This window comes from Homo sapiens, chromosome 11 (assembly GCF_000001405.40).
Source record: "Homo sapiens chromosome 11, GRCh38.p14 Primary Assembly".
In the NCBI taxonomy this organism is placed as follows: Eukaryota; Metazoa; Chordata; class Mammalia; order Primates; family Hominidae; genus Homo; species Homo sapiens.
The window spans coordinates 82082234-82097741 of NC_000011.10; the positions used below are offsets into that span (position 1 = coordinate 82082234).

At 34.8% G+C, this 15508-nt stretch overlaps 1 long non-coding RNA gene across 1 annotated transcript in view; it reads right to left on the minus strand.

Moving 5' to 3' along the window:
- MIR4300HG (MIR4300 host gene) overlaps nucleotides 1–15508 on the minus strand; it is a 524063-nt gene that overhangs the window by 202383 nt on the left and 306172 nt on the right. Inside the window, exon 5 of the long non-coding RNA NR_120571.1 lies at nucleotides 14228–14375. This is a non-coding gene — a long non-coding RNA (MIR4300 host gene). The remainder of the gene's footprint in view (nucleotides 1–14227; nucleotides 14376–15508) is intronic.

The window sequence follows — 15508 nt, forward strand, 5'->3', positions numbered from 1 at the left end:
AAATATTCATATCTGCAAACTGTCCTGAAAATTATTATCATCACTTCAGTAAGATTAATTTATTTCCCCCGGGTTGCACAGTGAGTAGGTGGCAGAATTGGGATTCAAAATCAGATGCCTCATTTTAGAAGTTATAATCCAGATCTGTGAGAATCTGTAGCCTCTGGTCTCACTGATACATGATAGCATCCCCCTACTTTTTGTATTAAATTGTTGTGTTGACATGGTGTCTAACTTCAGCTATACCTTTTAATTCAATTTGCAGACAAATCAATAGTGTTACTGGAAGTTTACTATGAAGTCTAAAAATGTCTGTTTTTATCTATTGATATCTTATTGACAAAACCACCACTATACCACAAAATGTAAATATCTTCTTGAGAGTATTAGTGTCAATTTAGAAAGATAATTAACTCTGAATTGGACTGACTTTTAAAAGCTATGCATCATTTACATGTCCAATAATTTTGATATGAGGTAGAAATTTGATGTGTTTTGTTTTGATTTTTGTAGTATACTTTTACTAATAATCTGTTTCTATCTCAATCCCCATTCTCCAAATCTTACAATGACTTTTATTGAACAACATCTCAAATTTATTATTAATGAATAATCAAAATTGAAAAAATATGTATTTGCTACCCTCAATGAATTCATATTTTAGAGATAAAGACTGACAACTAAACAATTTCAGTACATACAGCATGTCTTATAATTATTAAAAGCACAGGGTAAACGAAGGGACAGAGAAAGGCTTCTAAGCTAGCCTTAGGTGGCAAGGTTACAAGAAGAAGAAAGCTACCATGAAAAGATTCTAAGAAGAGGTATTGACCTTAAAAAAGTAGAAAAAGGGAAGGAAAATGTAAAAGATCCCCTCATACGTATTCCTCTGTTAGTGAAAGGAACGCTTAAGCACTTGGAATGATTTACAATCACTGACTGCCAGAAAGTTTCAATGCCAGAACATTGAAAAGAGCTGCAGCTCTTTTAATGCCAGCTGAATAACAGTTTAGTAATACTGTCCTTGTATATTTTAGCAGTTTAATCATTTTACCAAATTGTATTAACTTGATCTTTGTTGGTGTAGGGCAGCTGGCTTAGCATGTGGTGGTAGGTACTATTAATTTTTAAAATATATTACACAGCAACTGCTTAAAATAATCAATGAGCTATTGTATGTCCTGACTCATCATGTTCTTGTTTAGGTTAGCATTGCATATTTTTACATATTTTAAAGGAGGATCAGGGGATTTACAATAATCAGAATGAAGAGGCAAAATTGACAAACAGTAGTGTAAAATCAAAAGTGATAACTTCATGAACAAACTTTATAAGAGGCATTTTAGCCACATTTCTAACATATGTCATGAGAAAAGTATGCAGTAAAAATCAGTAACAATAATTCAACAATGCCTTAACATTTTAGAGCACTTGAATTTTAATTCATTTTTATAAATTAATATTCCTTAAGCTCCTCACTATCATGTGAGATATATAAAAATATAAATCATGTCTGCTTTGCTGTTAGTATGATAGCAATATGTAGACTAACTACCTAACGGTATCAGGTATTTAAAAATAAAATATAATTGAATAACGTTATTGTTTTTATAGGTTGAATTCCAATCATCAGCAGAGATAGAAATGGTGGCAGTAGCCCAGGAAATCACTTTAGTTCAACACACCTTACGAATGCTTCTGGAAGAAAAAAAACAGAGGGAGATCCATTTGTGCAACAAGGATTAATTGAATACCACACAGGACAAGAGCCATTCTAACTGCTGGAAATACAACAATTAAAATACAAGCGTGATCCTTCAGAAAGTTTGCATATTATTTGAAGAAAATAGCCATGAAAATACATGGAAAAATATTGGGTACTTTGAGAGAAGAGAGACAACTGATCATAAAAAGGATTTTAATCCCTGCTAAGAAGCTTAGATTTTACTCTAAAACCAAAGTAAAGCTTTTTGAAGGATTTTAGAAGGGAAGTGACAAAATCACATTTGTTTCTAGAAAGATCTTCCAGGCTTCACAAGGAAAATGAATTCGTGGGAATAGACAGAAAGCAGGTCAGTCAAGGAAGAGAATTTTGTAGTAATCCAGGTGAGAGTTATCAGCAGTAGTGTAGAAGGGGGATAAAGATAAACATATTTTTTAAAATATTAAGGAGGAAGAATCAATAGGACTCCCTATTTTTACAAAGTGGATGATTAGAAAAAGGGGAGAGTCAGATGACCCTCAACTTCCCAGCTTATAGTACCGAACGAATGGTGATGTCATTTTGTTCCCTAAAAGAAGGGGCAATTTATATTTCTTTGTCATTTAAATTAAGAGTGCTCTTACACAGATGATGACCCAAACTGTTCTTATATTACTGTGATTTTTTTTTCTCCCTCTCTTTGTGATGAGGAGCTTTTTAAGTGAATTTTAGTAACCTCAGAACTTAGCAAGTGTTCAATACATGTGTACCGTATGAATGAAATAGTGAATGAATGAATAGATAAATTGCTGTATATTACTTTATTTGAAATTTACATCATCGCTGAGGGGAAGGAAAGGTAGATATAATTATAACAACTTTAGAAATGAGAATTCTGATACAAGGATGGGTTGAAGCACTTGGCCAAGATTACCCAGCAAGTAAACACTCACATGCCAGTACTCTTTTCACTGTATCAGCCTACTTCTTACTACCTGCTTTTCCATTGTCCCACTCCTCATGAAAAAGTTCCTATGAGTTATGGGCTCTTCATGTCCAAATTAACCAAGAAGATGTGCACTGAATTTCCCCATAATAAATTATGTGATATCATGGGGCATCTTATAATCTACAAAATTACTATAATTAATGAAGGCATGTTGTTGGTGACTGGATCCATCAAGCTGTTCCTATGTTTTGCACAGCAGGTAAGAGATCAGATGCAAAGGGTGATGATCAGCACTCCACAGTCAGTTTGACACACATACACACTCTCACACATGCACATGCACAAGCGCGCACACATACACCTCAGAGAGCAAAAAATGCTGTCCTTCAGTCTAAAAAATAAAGCACTTAGGATCATTATGTGGTATGAATATGGTTGGCAGAGAGAATAAAGGTGTTGCTCCAATGTAATCAAACCCAGGAAGCCAATTAAGAGTTGTAGGGACTTTGTGTAGAGTTCCTGATATCTCTGTAAGTTTTCTCATGGCACTTGGAGAAATGAATGAAAGAAAAACAAGTAAATCTAACATAAAAATAACATACTAAACAGGAAAACAATGGTTTCTAAAACCCTTCTTCGGCACACCTCAGATTTCTAGGAGTTTCAGAAACATTGTTCATTTTTAAAAGTTATTAAAATCAACTACGTGTCAAATAGTGTGCTAGCTGGCTACAGAGGCAAATGAAACACAGTTGTCAGGGGTCCCCAACCCCCAGGCCTCTGATGGTCCCTGGCCTGTTAAGAACCAGCACAGCAGGAGGTAAGTAGCCAGCAAGCCTTATGGCCTGACCTCTGCCTCCCGTCAGATCAGCCAGGGCTTTAGATACCCATAGGAGCACGAATCCTTTTGTGAACTGTCCATGCAAGGGATCTAGGCTGCACACTCCTTATGAGAATCTAACTAATACCTGATGATCTGAGGTCAAACAGTTTCATCACCAAACCATCTCCCCACTTCCGTCTATGGAAACATTGTCTTCCATGAAACTGATCCCTGGTGCCAAAAAGGTTGGGGACCACTGAAGTTTTCGACTATCTATGAGACTACAAAATAGCACAGGAGTTGGAAGTAAAAATCACACAATTGAAATATAATGTGCTTCATGCAGTAATAGAATTGTCCTAGATGGTGCAATGAAGTCAGAAATGTGAAATTATAATGGTGACAGTGTTACCCTAGATAAGCATTATATAGTTTTGTAGACTGAACAAATCTAACATAAACTTTTCTGAGTAACACTGTCCACATCTCAGAAAAGAGGAGAGTAATAGTTGTTATTTGATAGGTTATCAAAGGAGTTATTTATTTACTATTTTGAATGAATCTGAGACAGCTTCAGATGGTAGATGATATCTTTGCAAATTTGGGGGACATACAGTTTCTCAGGCAGCTGCAGGAAGAAAACATTCTGGGCTAAGGGAGCAGTATGTACAAATTGGTGACAGTGTAACACAGCATAGTGCAATGTGACATAGCAGATGCTTTCCCAGTACTCACCCTCAGCTTGACCCTATCTCTTTTTTTCCTGCTCTGTCCTCTTCATGCTTCCTATTTAGATGCCAAAATGCATGCCATTTTTAAGTCTACAGTTAAGGGCAATTAGCAAACAAAGACAAACATAACACAAGAAATATACCTCCTGTCTAAGCTTCAGTTCAATCATTTTAAAGGCCCACAGAAGCTTTAAAATATTCTTGAGAAATAAACTCTGATCAAAAAGCCTAAAGCTCTGGTTGTCAGTTCATTCTCTGTCCATTCCACTCTGCCCGAAAGTAGGCATTTTGCAGAAGGCAATCAAAGCCAGGCATCGAAGAAATGTACAGAAATTACCCTCTCCTGAATATTGTGCATTTTTCAGATGAGTGTAATTCCAAATGAGAACAGAAAAAAAGTACAATAGAAATACAAACCTAATTGATATATATGTCCTCTCAACTTTAGAGCGATGTTGAAAAATGGCAGTAAGTCTAGAATCACTCCACAATTAATATACATAAGCTCTAATGTCAATCACTTCAGATGTAAAACAAAGCAGGTTAGAAAATCATGCAGAATCAATGAAATAAATGAGAGGAAAGACACAAATAAGCTATGGTAATCATGAGCTCGGCCATTCCTGGTTAATGACTTCACCAACACCACTACCTGACAAGAAATGGTACTTATACTTATGAACTCTGTGTAGATGCACGTATATTTACTTTTAAAAAAATAAACATATTAAGTGAATCTATGTAACAGGTATATTATATATTATATATAGCATATATATTATCTATAATAATATATTATAGCATGTAAATACATATATGCTGTTATCATATTTTAAATGTGCTTATTTTATGCATTAATTCTATATTAAATAAAATCTTATATTTCAAGCATGTTATATATATGTCACAGTGAAATTTATGTATGAATAAAATCTCATATTCATTCTATAGAATCACAAGCCTGTGGAGAAGAAAGATATGAAAATATAATATTAAATATGCAATTAAAATGACTTCTTCATGTATCTGCTTATTTATGCCAAAAATAAATATAGGAAGAATGAACCAGAAACTAAAGAGATTAGGTACTTACAGGAAGTATGTTAGAAACAGGACGAGAAGGGCAAGGGGTATGGGGGAGTGAGCGAGATTTCTCTGAGTATAACTCGTTGTACAGCTCTGACTGTTGAAATTACGCTGAAGTTTTACACAATCAAATACATAAACAGAATCAACAATGATAAGGGAAATTTTTAAATGGCATGCAAACATAAACAAATGAACCTAATTTATTTGAAATCAATAATAACCATATTGAAGGAGGTAAAAAGGAAAAAAGAAAGAAAAATTATTACTTTTATGAACCTAAATATTTTGATATTATACCCTAAGTCTGAAGGCAAAAAGCTGTAAATAAATAAATAAAATAGATAATGAATTCTAGTTAGTAGAGCTATTTATTTCAGTGGCATGTGTATGTAAGCAATTCTGAAACCACTTTCTGTATATTCTAGGATTCAGCAAATAATTATTTTGTAGTAAGTATAGTTGAAACTTTCTCACTGCTGGAAAAAGGAGCTACAATATGCAAGGGGAAAGACTAGAAGGAAGCTGCATAAATAAGCAGATACAGATAATATTTTAAGTAGATAAGACACATAGAGAGATTCCTAGAAATATGTGTGTATGTATATACATATGCCCTATCTCTATTTGTTGACAGAAACTGGGAACAAGGACATCATAATAAAAATGGGCCCATCACACACCAAAATGTGGTTTCTAATTTAAAATTTCCACTAAATAAATTAATTTAGAAAATGCAGACAGAAACAATTCTCCTGAAGAAATAGCTAATTCTAGGGCTGAAATTGAAAAAGTATGAGATAAGTCTGGTTCATTTTATTGTAGGAAAAGAACATGTTTTCAAAGTATGTTTGAGACATATTCCAAAAACACAGATACTAGATTGAAGGAGCTCCAATGAACCAATCTGGGCTGTTTGAGCATCCAAAATCTCAGTTTATAATCAATGGAATAGAATAAAAATGCAATGGCACAAACTAATATAAATGAATGAATAGATAAATGAGAAAGAAGGGATTTATTTGTAGTAGAATGCCAACTGCTGAGGAAAGAACGATGGAATTAGAAATGATCAATTAGCAGCCATAATAGTAATAACTGATTTCACCATAAATCATCATTGGGTGTTAAAACTAGTAAATTAAAATTTGAGGGGTAATAGGATATTTATATAGTCTCAAAGTATCTCCCTTTAAGGTACCTATTAATTTCAAACAGAAAAGTAGAATATTATAGTGGAGAAATCTAACACCACCTTAAATAAATGATCAAAGTTAATATTACAGGAAATGAGACAAATCAGCAGTGGATGTGCTACTATAATGCACTAACAAGTCAGTTCTGTGACTTTCCTGCCAAAAAAGTGTAATCAACAGCCAACATAAGGAAACATCAGACAAACACAATTTGAGGGTCATTCTACAAAATAAGTATCCTGTACTCTTCAAAAATGTCAGTCATAAAAGATTAAAAAAAACTTATTTCATATTAAAGGAGATTAAAGATTTGTGATAGCTAATTGCTATGTGTGATCTCAGATTAAACACTAAACAAAGACAAAAATGTACACACATAAACATGACATACATGCATAAACACAGAATATTATTGGAATAATTGCTGAAATTTGAATAAGGCCTATGGCATCAATTTTAAGTTTTTGTATGATGGATATGTGAGACAATTATTTTATTTTTAATAAACAAACTTTGAATATTTTAGGGGTTAAGGGTCTTCATGCATATAAGTTACTCTCAAACATTGAGAAAAAATAGTAGGTGTATGTATATTATCAATATTTGTGTACTTATCTATGAATATATGTATAGAAAAGTAACATGTGTAAGAGAGAATATGAAAAAAAAATTGTAGTGAATTATTAATAATTGGAAAATCTGGGTGAAGGGTATATTTTATTCTTTAAAAGATTTTAGAAATTTTCCGTAAGTCTCACATTATTCCAAAATGAAAATTTGAAATCATGAAACAATACTTAATGTAATTTGTCATTACAAAAGTGCAAATTTAATCCCAGCTTCTCATGAGGCTGAGGCATGATAATCGTTTGAAGCCAGGAAACGGAGGTTGCAGTGAGCCGGAGATTGCACCACTGCACTCCAGCCTGGGCAATGGAGTGAGACGCTGTCAAAAAAAAAAAAAAAAAAAAGGTAGATAGATGGAAGGTGCAAATTAAATCACAATCAGATAATGCCAGACACATATCCAAATGACTAAAATTTTAAAAGAAAATGACAATACCAAATGACAGTGATTATGCAGAGCACCTAGAACTTTAACAACTCACTAGTGAGAGTGCACAATGTTACTTCCATTGTGGCAGACAGTTTGGCAGTTTTTTATACACACATGCACTAAACATATACCCAAGAAATTCCACTCTTACGTAGTGAAATGAAAATCATGTCTACACACAAAAATGTATGTGAATGTTCAAAATTACTTTATTTTTAACCGCCAAACTGGAAACATTTTGAATGTCTCTGAACTAGAGACTGGATAAACACATCATGGTACTAATATAAAGTACAGTATTATTCAGCAATAAAACCATAGATACTTGCTAAAACATGGATGAATCTCAAATGAATTACACTAAGGAAAAAAAGTCAGATCCAAAAAGCTACATCCTGTATGTACACATTTTTACTACAGTTTTGCAAAGTGAAAACTGTAGGAACAGAAAATAGATCAGTAATTGCCAGAATCTGGGGTGGAGAAAACAGCTGACTGCAAAGGGTCACCAGATAATTTTGGAGACTGATGGATGGAGCTGTTCTTTATCTTCATCATGGAGGTGGGTGTGCAATTGTCAAAACTCAGATAATTGTATTATAAAAAGGATAATTCTCCTGTATATTATACCTTAGTACAAAGAAAGGGCAGAACGCAACAAATTTAAAAACATAAATTATTGACTCAAATGTGCAAGCACTGAGGTTATTTTTTGAGGGCCTGCTACTCATCACTCAACTTCTGAGACAAGGAAGTTATTTCCACTATCTCCTAATGATTTATCACTAATAATACTAATAATAATAGCATTGAATGCAGGAAGATCAGGCATTGCCAGGGAAGGCTTCCTGAGCTGAGTGATAAGGAATAGGCAGTACAAAAGGAATATTTGGGAAAGGTACAGTGGTGACATTACAAGGAAGTTATTTCCACTATCTACTCATGATTTCCACTATCTACTAATGATTTATCTCTCCTTGCAGTTTAGCAGGCTTCTGGAGGCACTGAGACCTGATATAACACAAGGTTGAGACACCACTCTCTTGTGTAATGCAGTGCATGGAGCCCAAGGAGAAAACGCAAAGAGAAAATTAACACAACAAAGTTACTAGTTAGGTCAATCATCCAAATACATTCTCCATTTAACGGAACTAGACCATTAGAGAATGCACCCAAATATTAAATAAGTCAGTGTCTGGGAGACAGCTGCTAAAACAATTCCTTAGAATGGGGAGAGAGGATGCATCAGGTATTTATGGAGTTCTCTCTTTTTAAAAAATCTTTATTTATTTGTTTGGCTGAGGAAGAATAAGCCATTTAAAGTATTTCTCCTTGAAATGAAAAAAAAAAAAAAAAGAAACTTTCTCTGTGAAAGATACCAATCTCACTATGGAGTGTTCTGAGAACACATGATTCCACATCTGTTTCTCCAGCTTTTACTTTTTCTGGTGGATCAGATACTAGAGCTCCCTGAGGAATGATGTCATATTCAGCACTGCTTTGCCATCCAGAATTATCCAGGCAGATCACAGAGATGCAGGATAAAAAAGAAAAATTTCCCTTGAATTGGTTTAAGCCAAAAGTGTGGAAAGGAAAGTGGTAGAAAATAGACAGCTGGATTTTGAGGAAGTCCCCTAACCACTTTGATCATCTTAAAGGATGCCACATGGGAGTTCTCCAGCAGCCTACATTCTCAGTAAGGGCAGTGGTATTGGAAGGTTCACAGCAGTGTATGAAACATCTACATATAAGCGCAATGCTTCCGTATGTGGTATACAATTACAATTGTAGCCATCAAACCAAGAAAAATAGACAAAGTTTCTATAACTTGGAAGTAGAAAAATTATTTTCTTTCTGAGACAAGCAAAGGCAAAATCTGATACACTGACTGTTTAGGATTTGGCCTTGTGAGAAAACATTTGTTATAAATTGTATATAGAATTGAAAACCTGCGGCAGCTCTTTCACTGAATTTTGTGGCCTCAGGTACTGGCAGATAAGGAGACATGGCATAGAATTGTGCTATCAATATTTGACAATTTTCTGGCCTTACCTTTTAACGTGGCTTTCAGCCTGTTTGGGGTTCTATCAAATTTTGATCCTTCTTTCCATGTTGAGTTGATTTTTTTTTTCACACACTACACTGCCTTATAATAAATGGGACAGAATAACGGGTCGGTCACCTTGCCAAAGAAAAGATTGCAGAGTAATGCGACTTTCTGACATTTAGCAATTCTGATGTAGCATTGATTCATTGATTATTTTTGTCAGTAAAATAGTTAATAAATGTTATTACTAGGTTATTAATGGCCCTGCAAAGGTATTGTAAAATTTGTTAAACTATGGTATAGGAACTTATTAAATGTATTTATTATTGAATGTATTTTTGAATTTATTTACTATTATAAGTATATAATTCTTAAAAATTTGTAGAAAGCAGTTAAAATTACTTTTTTCCAATTGAGATAGTTATCATTGCTGAAACAAAAGCCTAAGTGTGCTAGAATAAGCACTTACATCTTTCTTCAATTTTCAGTATTTTAGAATTAAAAGAGAAAGTGGGGAGAGAGAGAAACACATCAAAATTTCCTGATATGCATAAAAGTACCTTACATTAGCAGAGGGGAGAGAGAGAAACACATCAAAATTTTCTGATATGCATAAAAGTACCTTACATTAGCAGAGAGGTAAAGCAGTTCGCTTATTATTACAGAACAAATCATTGACATAACTAGGAACACTCTCCTGACTTTAATTCAAATAATTTAAAACATCCTGCCTTACCCTATATTCCTAAAGCAAATACTAAAACATTACAAGAAATAATAGCTTTGAATTTAATTAGAAGTATTTTTGTCACCTAATATTTTCTTCAAACAAAAAACTAGTAAAACAACAAAGAACCTTATCTATTTTCAGAGTGGCTGAGAAATTCCTGTATGTTTTCTGATGAATGTGTTTATAGAAGTCTCAGAGAAGGGATGAAATTAACAAAAGACATATTTACAAAAGATTAACTTTTGCAAATCATGTTACTTCCTAAGAATAGAGCTTTCCTGCCAGACTTCAGCATCATACATTGGTACATGTCTTTTTTGTTTTGGATTTACAATGATTCTCCTCACACAGAATTAAAGCAATAAAGAGCTTAAGAAAAAGTTTTCATTCCATATCAACTCTCAATTTACTGAACCATCCACTAAGACACTGCCCTGGGTACTTATATATGTATTATCTGATAAAAACTTCATAATACTTCTATGCATTCATTCAATAAATCATCAACACTTGATTAAGAACTACCCTGGCACTGTCCAAGGTACTATGGGCACAGAGATTAAGTTATTTTAGCTTTCAGGAAATAGTATTCTTGAGAGGGAGTCAGACAAGGAAACTAGCTATTTCAAAAGAGTAAGATAATACTCTGTAGGAGAAGAAAGCTGAGGATTGTGCCAGGGCAAGCAAGAATAGCACTGAAGCAAGATGCAGGAAGATCAGGGGTTGCCAGGGAAGGCTTCCTGAGCTGAGTGAAAAGGAATAGGCAGTAGAAAAGGAATATTTGGGAAAGGGGCAGTGGTAACATTACTAAAGTCAAACAATCCAGAAAGGTATTTTTATACTCACTTTTCATTTACGTGAGCTGAAGCTCAGGGGAGTGAATAACTTTCCCAAGGTTACACAGTGGCTATGTGTTAAAGGCTAGCAGATTTATATACTATCTTAAGTATGAAATTTGCTGCCATTAATCAGTAATTCTGGCTGTTTTTGTTTCAGTATGTTTATTTTACATCTACTAAATTTCTGAGTAGAGACATATTTTTCAACATTCTTCTTATAACATTTCATCATCTATACTATCTTGTTCCCTTCTGCCTTCTATGGACCAGTGAGAAGAGAAATAAAGACTGGAGCAGTGCATTATCTCAGTGTTTGAATTCTAAATGAAGGAGTGGAACATCACGTTCCCAGGGGATGCTGTACATACAGCCAAGAGCAAGACCTGCATTGAACATTTCCAAAAATAATTGGAAGCACACATGTTTTTAGGAGTAAATACCCAAAAATGTTGGTTAAAGTGCTTCCTTTCAAAGCGGAAGTCTCATGTTGTCTTTCCAAACACCTACTCTACCTTTTCTGAATCATCTTTCCCAGAAAACATCAACATCTTCCTTCTGGTCTTCCTAATTCGGCCATGAAAATAGCCAGTGTAACTTCAGAGGGTCACTAAGACTCATTCTTCCCTGGTATCAACGCATGTGAATGTGCATATACACACACACACACTCTCTCTCTCTCTCTCTTTCACACACACACACACACACACACACACACACACACACACACCCCTTTTCCCTAGGTTTTTACCCTACGTGGCATAAAAATGAAATTGGTGCTTCAGACTACAAAGATCTGTATGATCTGGTCCCTGCCTCCTACTCCAACCTCACCTCAGACTCACTTCTTAGTTTCTCAGCTGTGCCAAGCTTTTATCTGCCTCGGGGCTTTTTGAAATGTTGCTTCTTTTAGTTCCTGACATAGCTGACTCCTACTCATTCTTTAAGCATCAGCTCATATCCTCAGAGAAGTCTTACCTAACTGCTCCGGTCTTAATTAAGTTATCTCTCTTATTCTATTTCAAATAATACTTCTTTTTTCTTAGAACCTTATACATTATACATTTTTTTGGTGGCTTATTATTTTAAATGCATATGTTTCACATAAACTTATTGAGGACAGGAAGTGTGACTTATGGATTCAGCACCCAGGCCAGGCTATATAATCTGTGACGTCCAGTGGAAAGCAAAGTATGAATCCCTTATGCAAAGTTGTAAGAATTTCAAGATGGGAATGGCAGAGTATTGAACCAAGCAAAGCTGGCTTCTGGGAACAGGACTGCCCAGGTCATGCACACACATGAAGCTGGCCCTGTTACCATTTGATACTCAATATCTATCTTAACATCTGGGAAAGGAGTACTCAATAAATACTTATTTACCATAATGAATAAATTACTAGGAAATGAATTATAGTGATATAGATTCATACTTGTATGAGAATAATTCAGCATATTCCTGAGGAACACATTTTGAGAAGAATGGAGAAAGAATATAAGGCACGGTGAAACAATAGGAAAAGAGAATAAAATAGAGAAAGTCAGAGGCAGAAATTTTTCCCTTCAAAAATTTCTTCAAAAAGTATTTTTCATATATTAAAAAGCTTTTTAAAAAAACTTTTGAAAAGTGAAGAATCTGACCCTTTAGGAAGAAAGAAAATTAACATTTTGAATATATAAAATATTCTATACACAGGATGCTTTCAAATACATTATTTCATTTTAACCTTCCCAACAATTGTGAGAAACATATTTTATTCTTCGTGACCTATATTTAAGAAAACTATAGCTCAGAGACGGAAGAAAATATACTTAGTTTCCTAAAGCGAGTTATTTTGTGAGCTGGAATGAATTTTTGTACGTAGGACAATACCTTCCTGACCTATGCCTAAAGGCAGTTCACATTATGAAGTGTCTTCCTTGAAATTTTCCAGGTCTAGCTTTGGTAATTTGGAATGGCTGAGGCCAGCAGTGCCATCTAGGTAGAACATCATGAGCCTGGGACACACATGGACCTCCAGACCCAGTCTCTCCCATTTGAGGTTCCCTTTGATCTTCTATGTCCACCTATATCTGCAGGATCAATCAGCTATAAGAAGTCAAAATTTTAAAAATGACAAAGTGATCAAGATCCAACACAGTGCTGAAGTCTTTTGATCCAGAAATCATTTCCCTTGGAATATAATCTAAGAAAATGATTCAAGAATGGAAAATAAAGCAAGATGTTCTGTTCATTGTAACATAACCTATAAATGTAAGGGGAAACATTTTATCAATTTTATTGTCCATTATGATTGAATGTAAATTGACTTCGAGTGAGAAATTCAGGTGAATAAAACTTATAGAAAGAAAATTTTGAAAATTATAATACATTAAGCTCTAAAAGAACAGTACTTCCCAAATTGTAGTCTAAAATCTTCTTATTTCAAAAGCACCTGCTGGTTACATGTGCAGGTCCCTACCCAACTGTCAACCTCTAGTCGCTGAATTTGCTTAAGACTCCCCGTGTTGTAAACAGTTCTTCCTCACCAGTATGCATTTTGACTACAGTGTTTCTTCTGGTTTACAGCGACAAAGATGAGAGGAATGGTGGTAAACATTCCGTTACCCTGTTCATCCTCTGCCACAGGAATTCAAGGTGATCACCTCACCCACTCTGTAGGCTCCAAGCCACATATCTGTCAGCATTGTTGGAATAGCCACACTTGCCTTCCCTACAATGCCAACTGATTCTTTTATTAGTGTTCTCTATTGCCTCTAATCAATACTATCAGGAGTGCTCTTCTCGGTTAGTCTTATGTCATGTCAAATACACATCAGACAATCCTTGCGCAAATAAGGCAACTCTTCCTACTCTTCCAGGGGACTCTTGCCTATCTTCCCAACTGGTGTTAGTTTGTGAAAGGCAGGGATAAGACAAACATTTAAAAAGACCACATTCTATATAGGAAAACAGTAAATAAAGAGCTCACGAAAAGATACAATCGAAGGATTTCTCTATGTTCATACTAGTATGAATGATATGTTTAATATGACAAGAAAACTAATTATTATTCACATGTACTACATACTCTCAGTATGACTTGCATTTGTGGTCAACATTGGTGAGGCCCAGTAGCAATTCTTGAAAGAGTCAATGGAAGCCAGTATTCACAGGTGGCATTGTGAATGATAAATAGGTTGGATGATGGTTGGATGATGCAGCATTATGAATAAACCCTGCATTAAATAAGTGGAATTAGGGAACTAGATAGGCAAGTTGTTCTATGTTTTTTTAGGCAAGTAGATTTTGAAGAGCTATGACATTGTGAGTAATAATAGCATTACGTTTTCCTCACGGTAGAAAATATAAAATCAGCAAGAGATGGCACATTTAACAGTAAAATACACAGAGAGATGGCTTCTAGTCCTGAAGAGGAAAAGAAGGTGCCTGGACACTATGAGTAATCTTCAAGTGCATTGATTAGACAATAAAACAATATATGAGTACCCTTTCTCTACACGTTTATGATTTGATCTTCATTGATAAATCACTGTATCTTAACTGGGCCCATACATCGTGTATTATAATTTAAAATCAAATTGTTTGTATTGACAGAAAGAGTCCCCCGCTACACACACACACACACACACACACACACACACACACACAATGATTCAGGAGGTTTAAATCCACCTTTTCTCTATAGGCAACCATACTTATACTCCAAAATAATTGGAAAAAGCAACCAATGCGGCAAAAGAGAAGATAATGCATTTGATTTTTGCATGCCCAGGGAAGCATATGTTCTCAGTGTAAAAGGAGAAAATCAAGCACAATATTTATTGACCAATAAAGGTAAGCTTTTTTTGTGAGGGAAACTGAATTATCTTTTACCAGCAAACTGTGTTTAATATCACAGAAGATAAATCTTAGGCTTAAAAATAGGAGGCAGGCTGCATAGATGCACCCAACCGTGTGGATAATTACAACAGAGAGTTATACCTTAACCTGGTAGCTTGGACCAATGCTTCACAGAAAGTTAAAAGAAGCAGAGTTTCTGCTTGGAAGTTTGTTCTCTGGGTCAAGTGGTATTTGATTATTAGGTCTCACTAGCTGCTGAATAGCGTTACAGAAGCCACTATTTAGTGATGTGGTGTTAAATTTATTCTTCCAGTATCGTTATATGGCTATGCACAAGTTATGTATCACCTTTGAGCTTCAATGAAGTGATGAGTGAGCTGATGCCTGGAGAACTGGGGAGTAATCATCCAGGCAGAGAATGAGGGTGTGGTTGGCCTAGAGAAAAACTTTAACTTTCTCAAGAGAAGAAAGCATATGCTCTTTTGGAAGGAATGAAAGCATGTATATT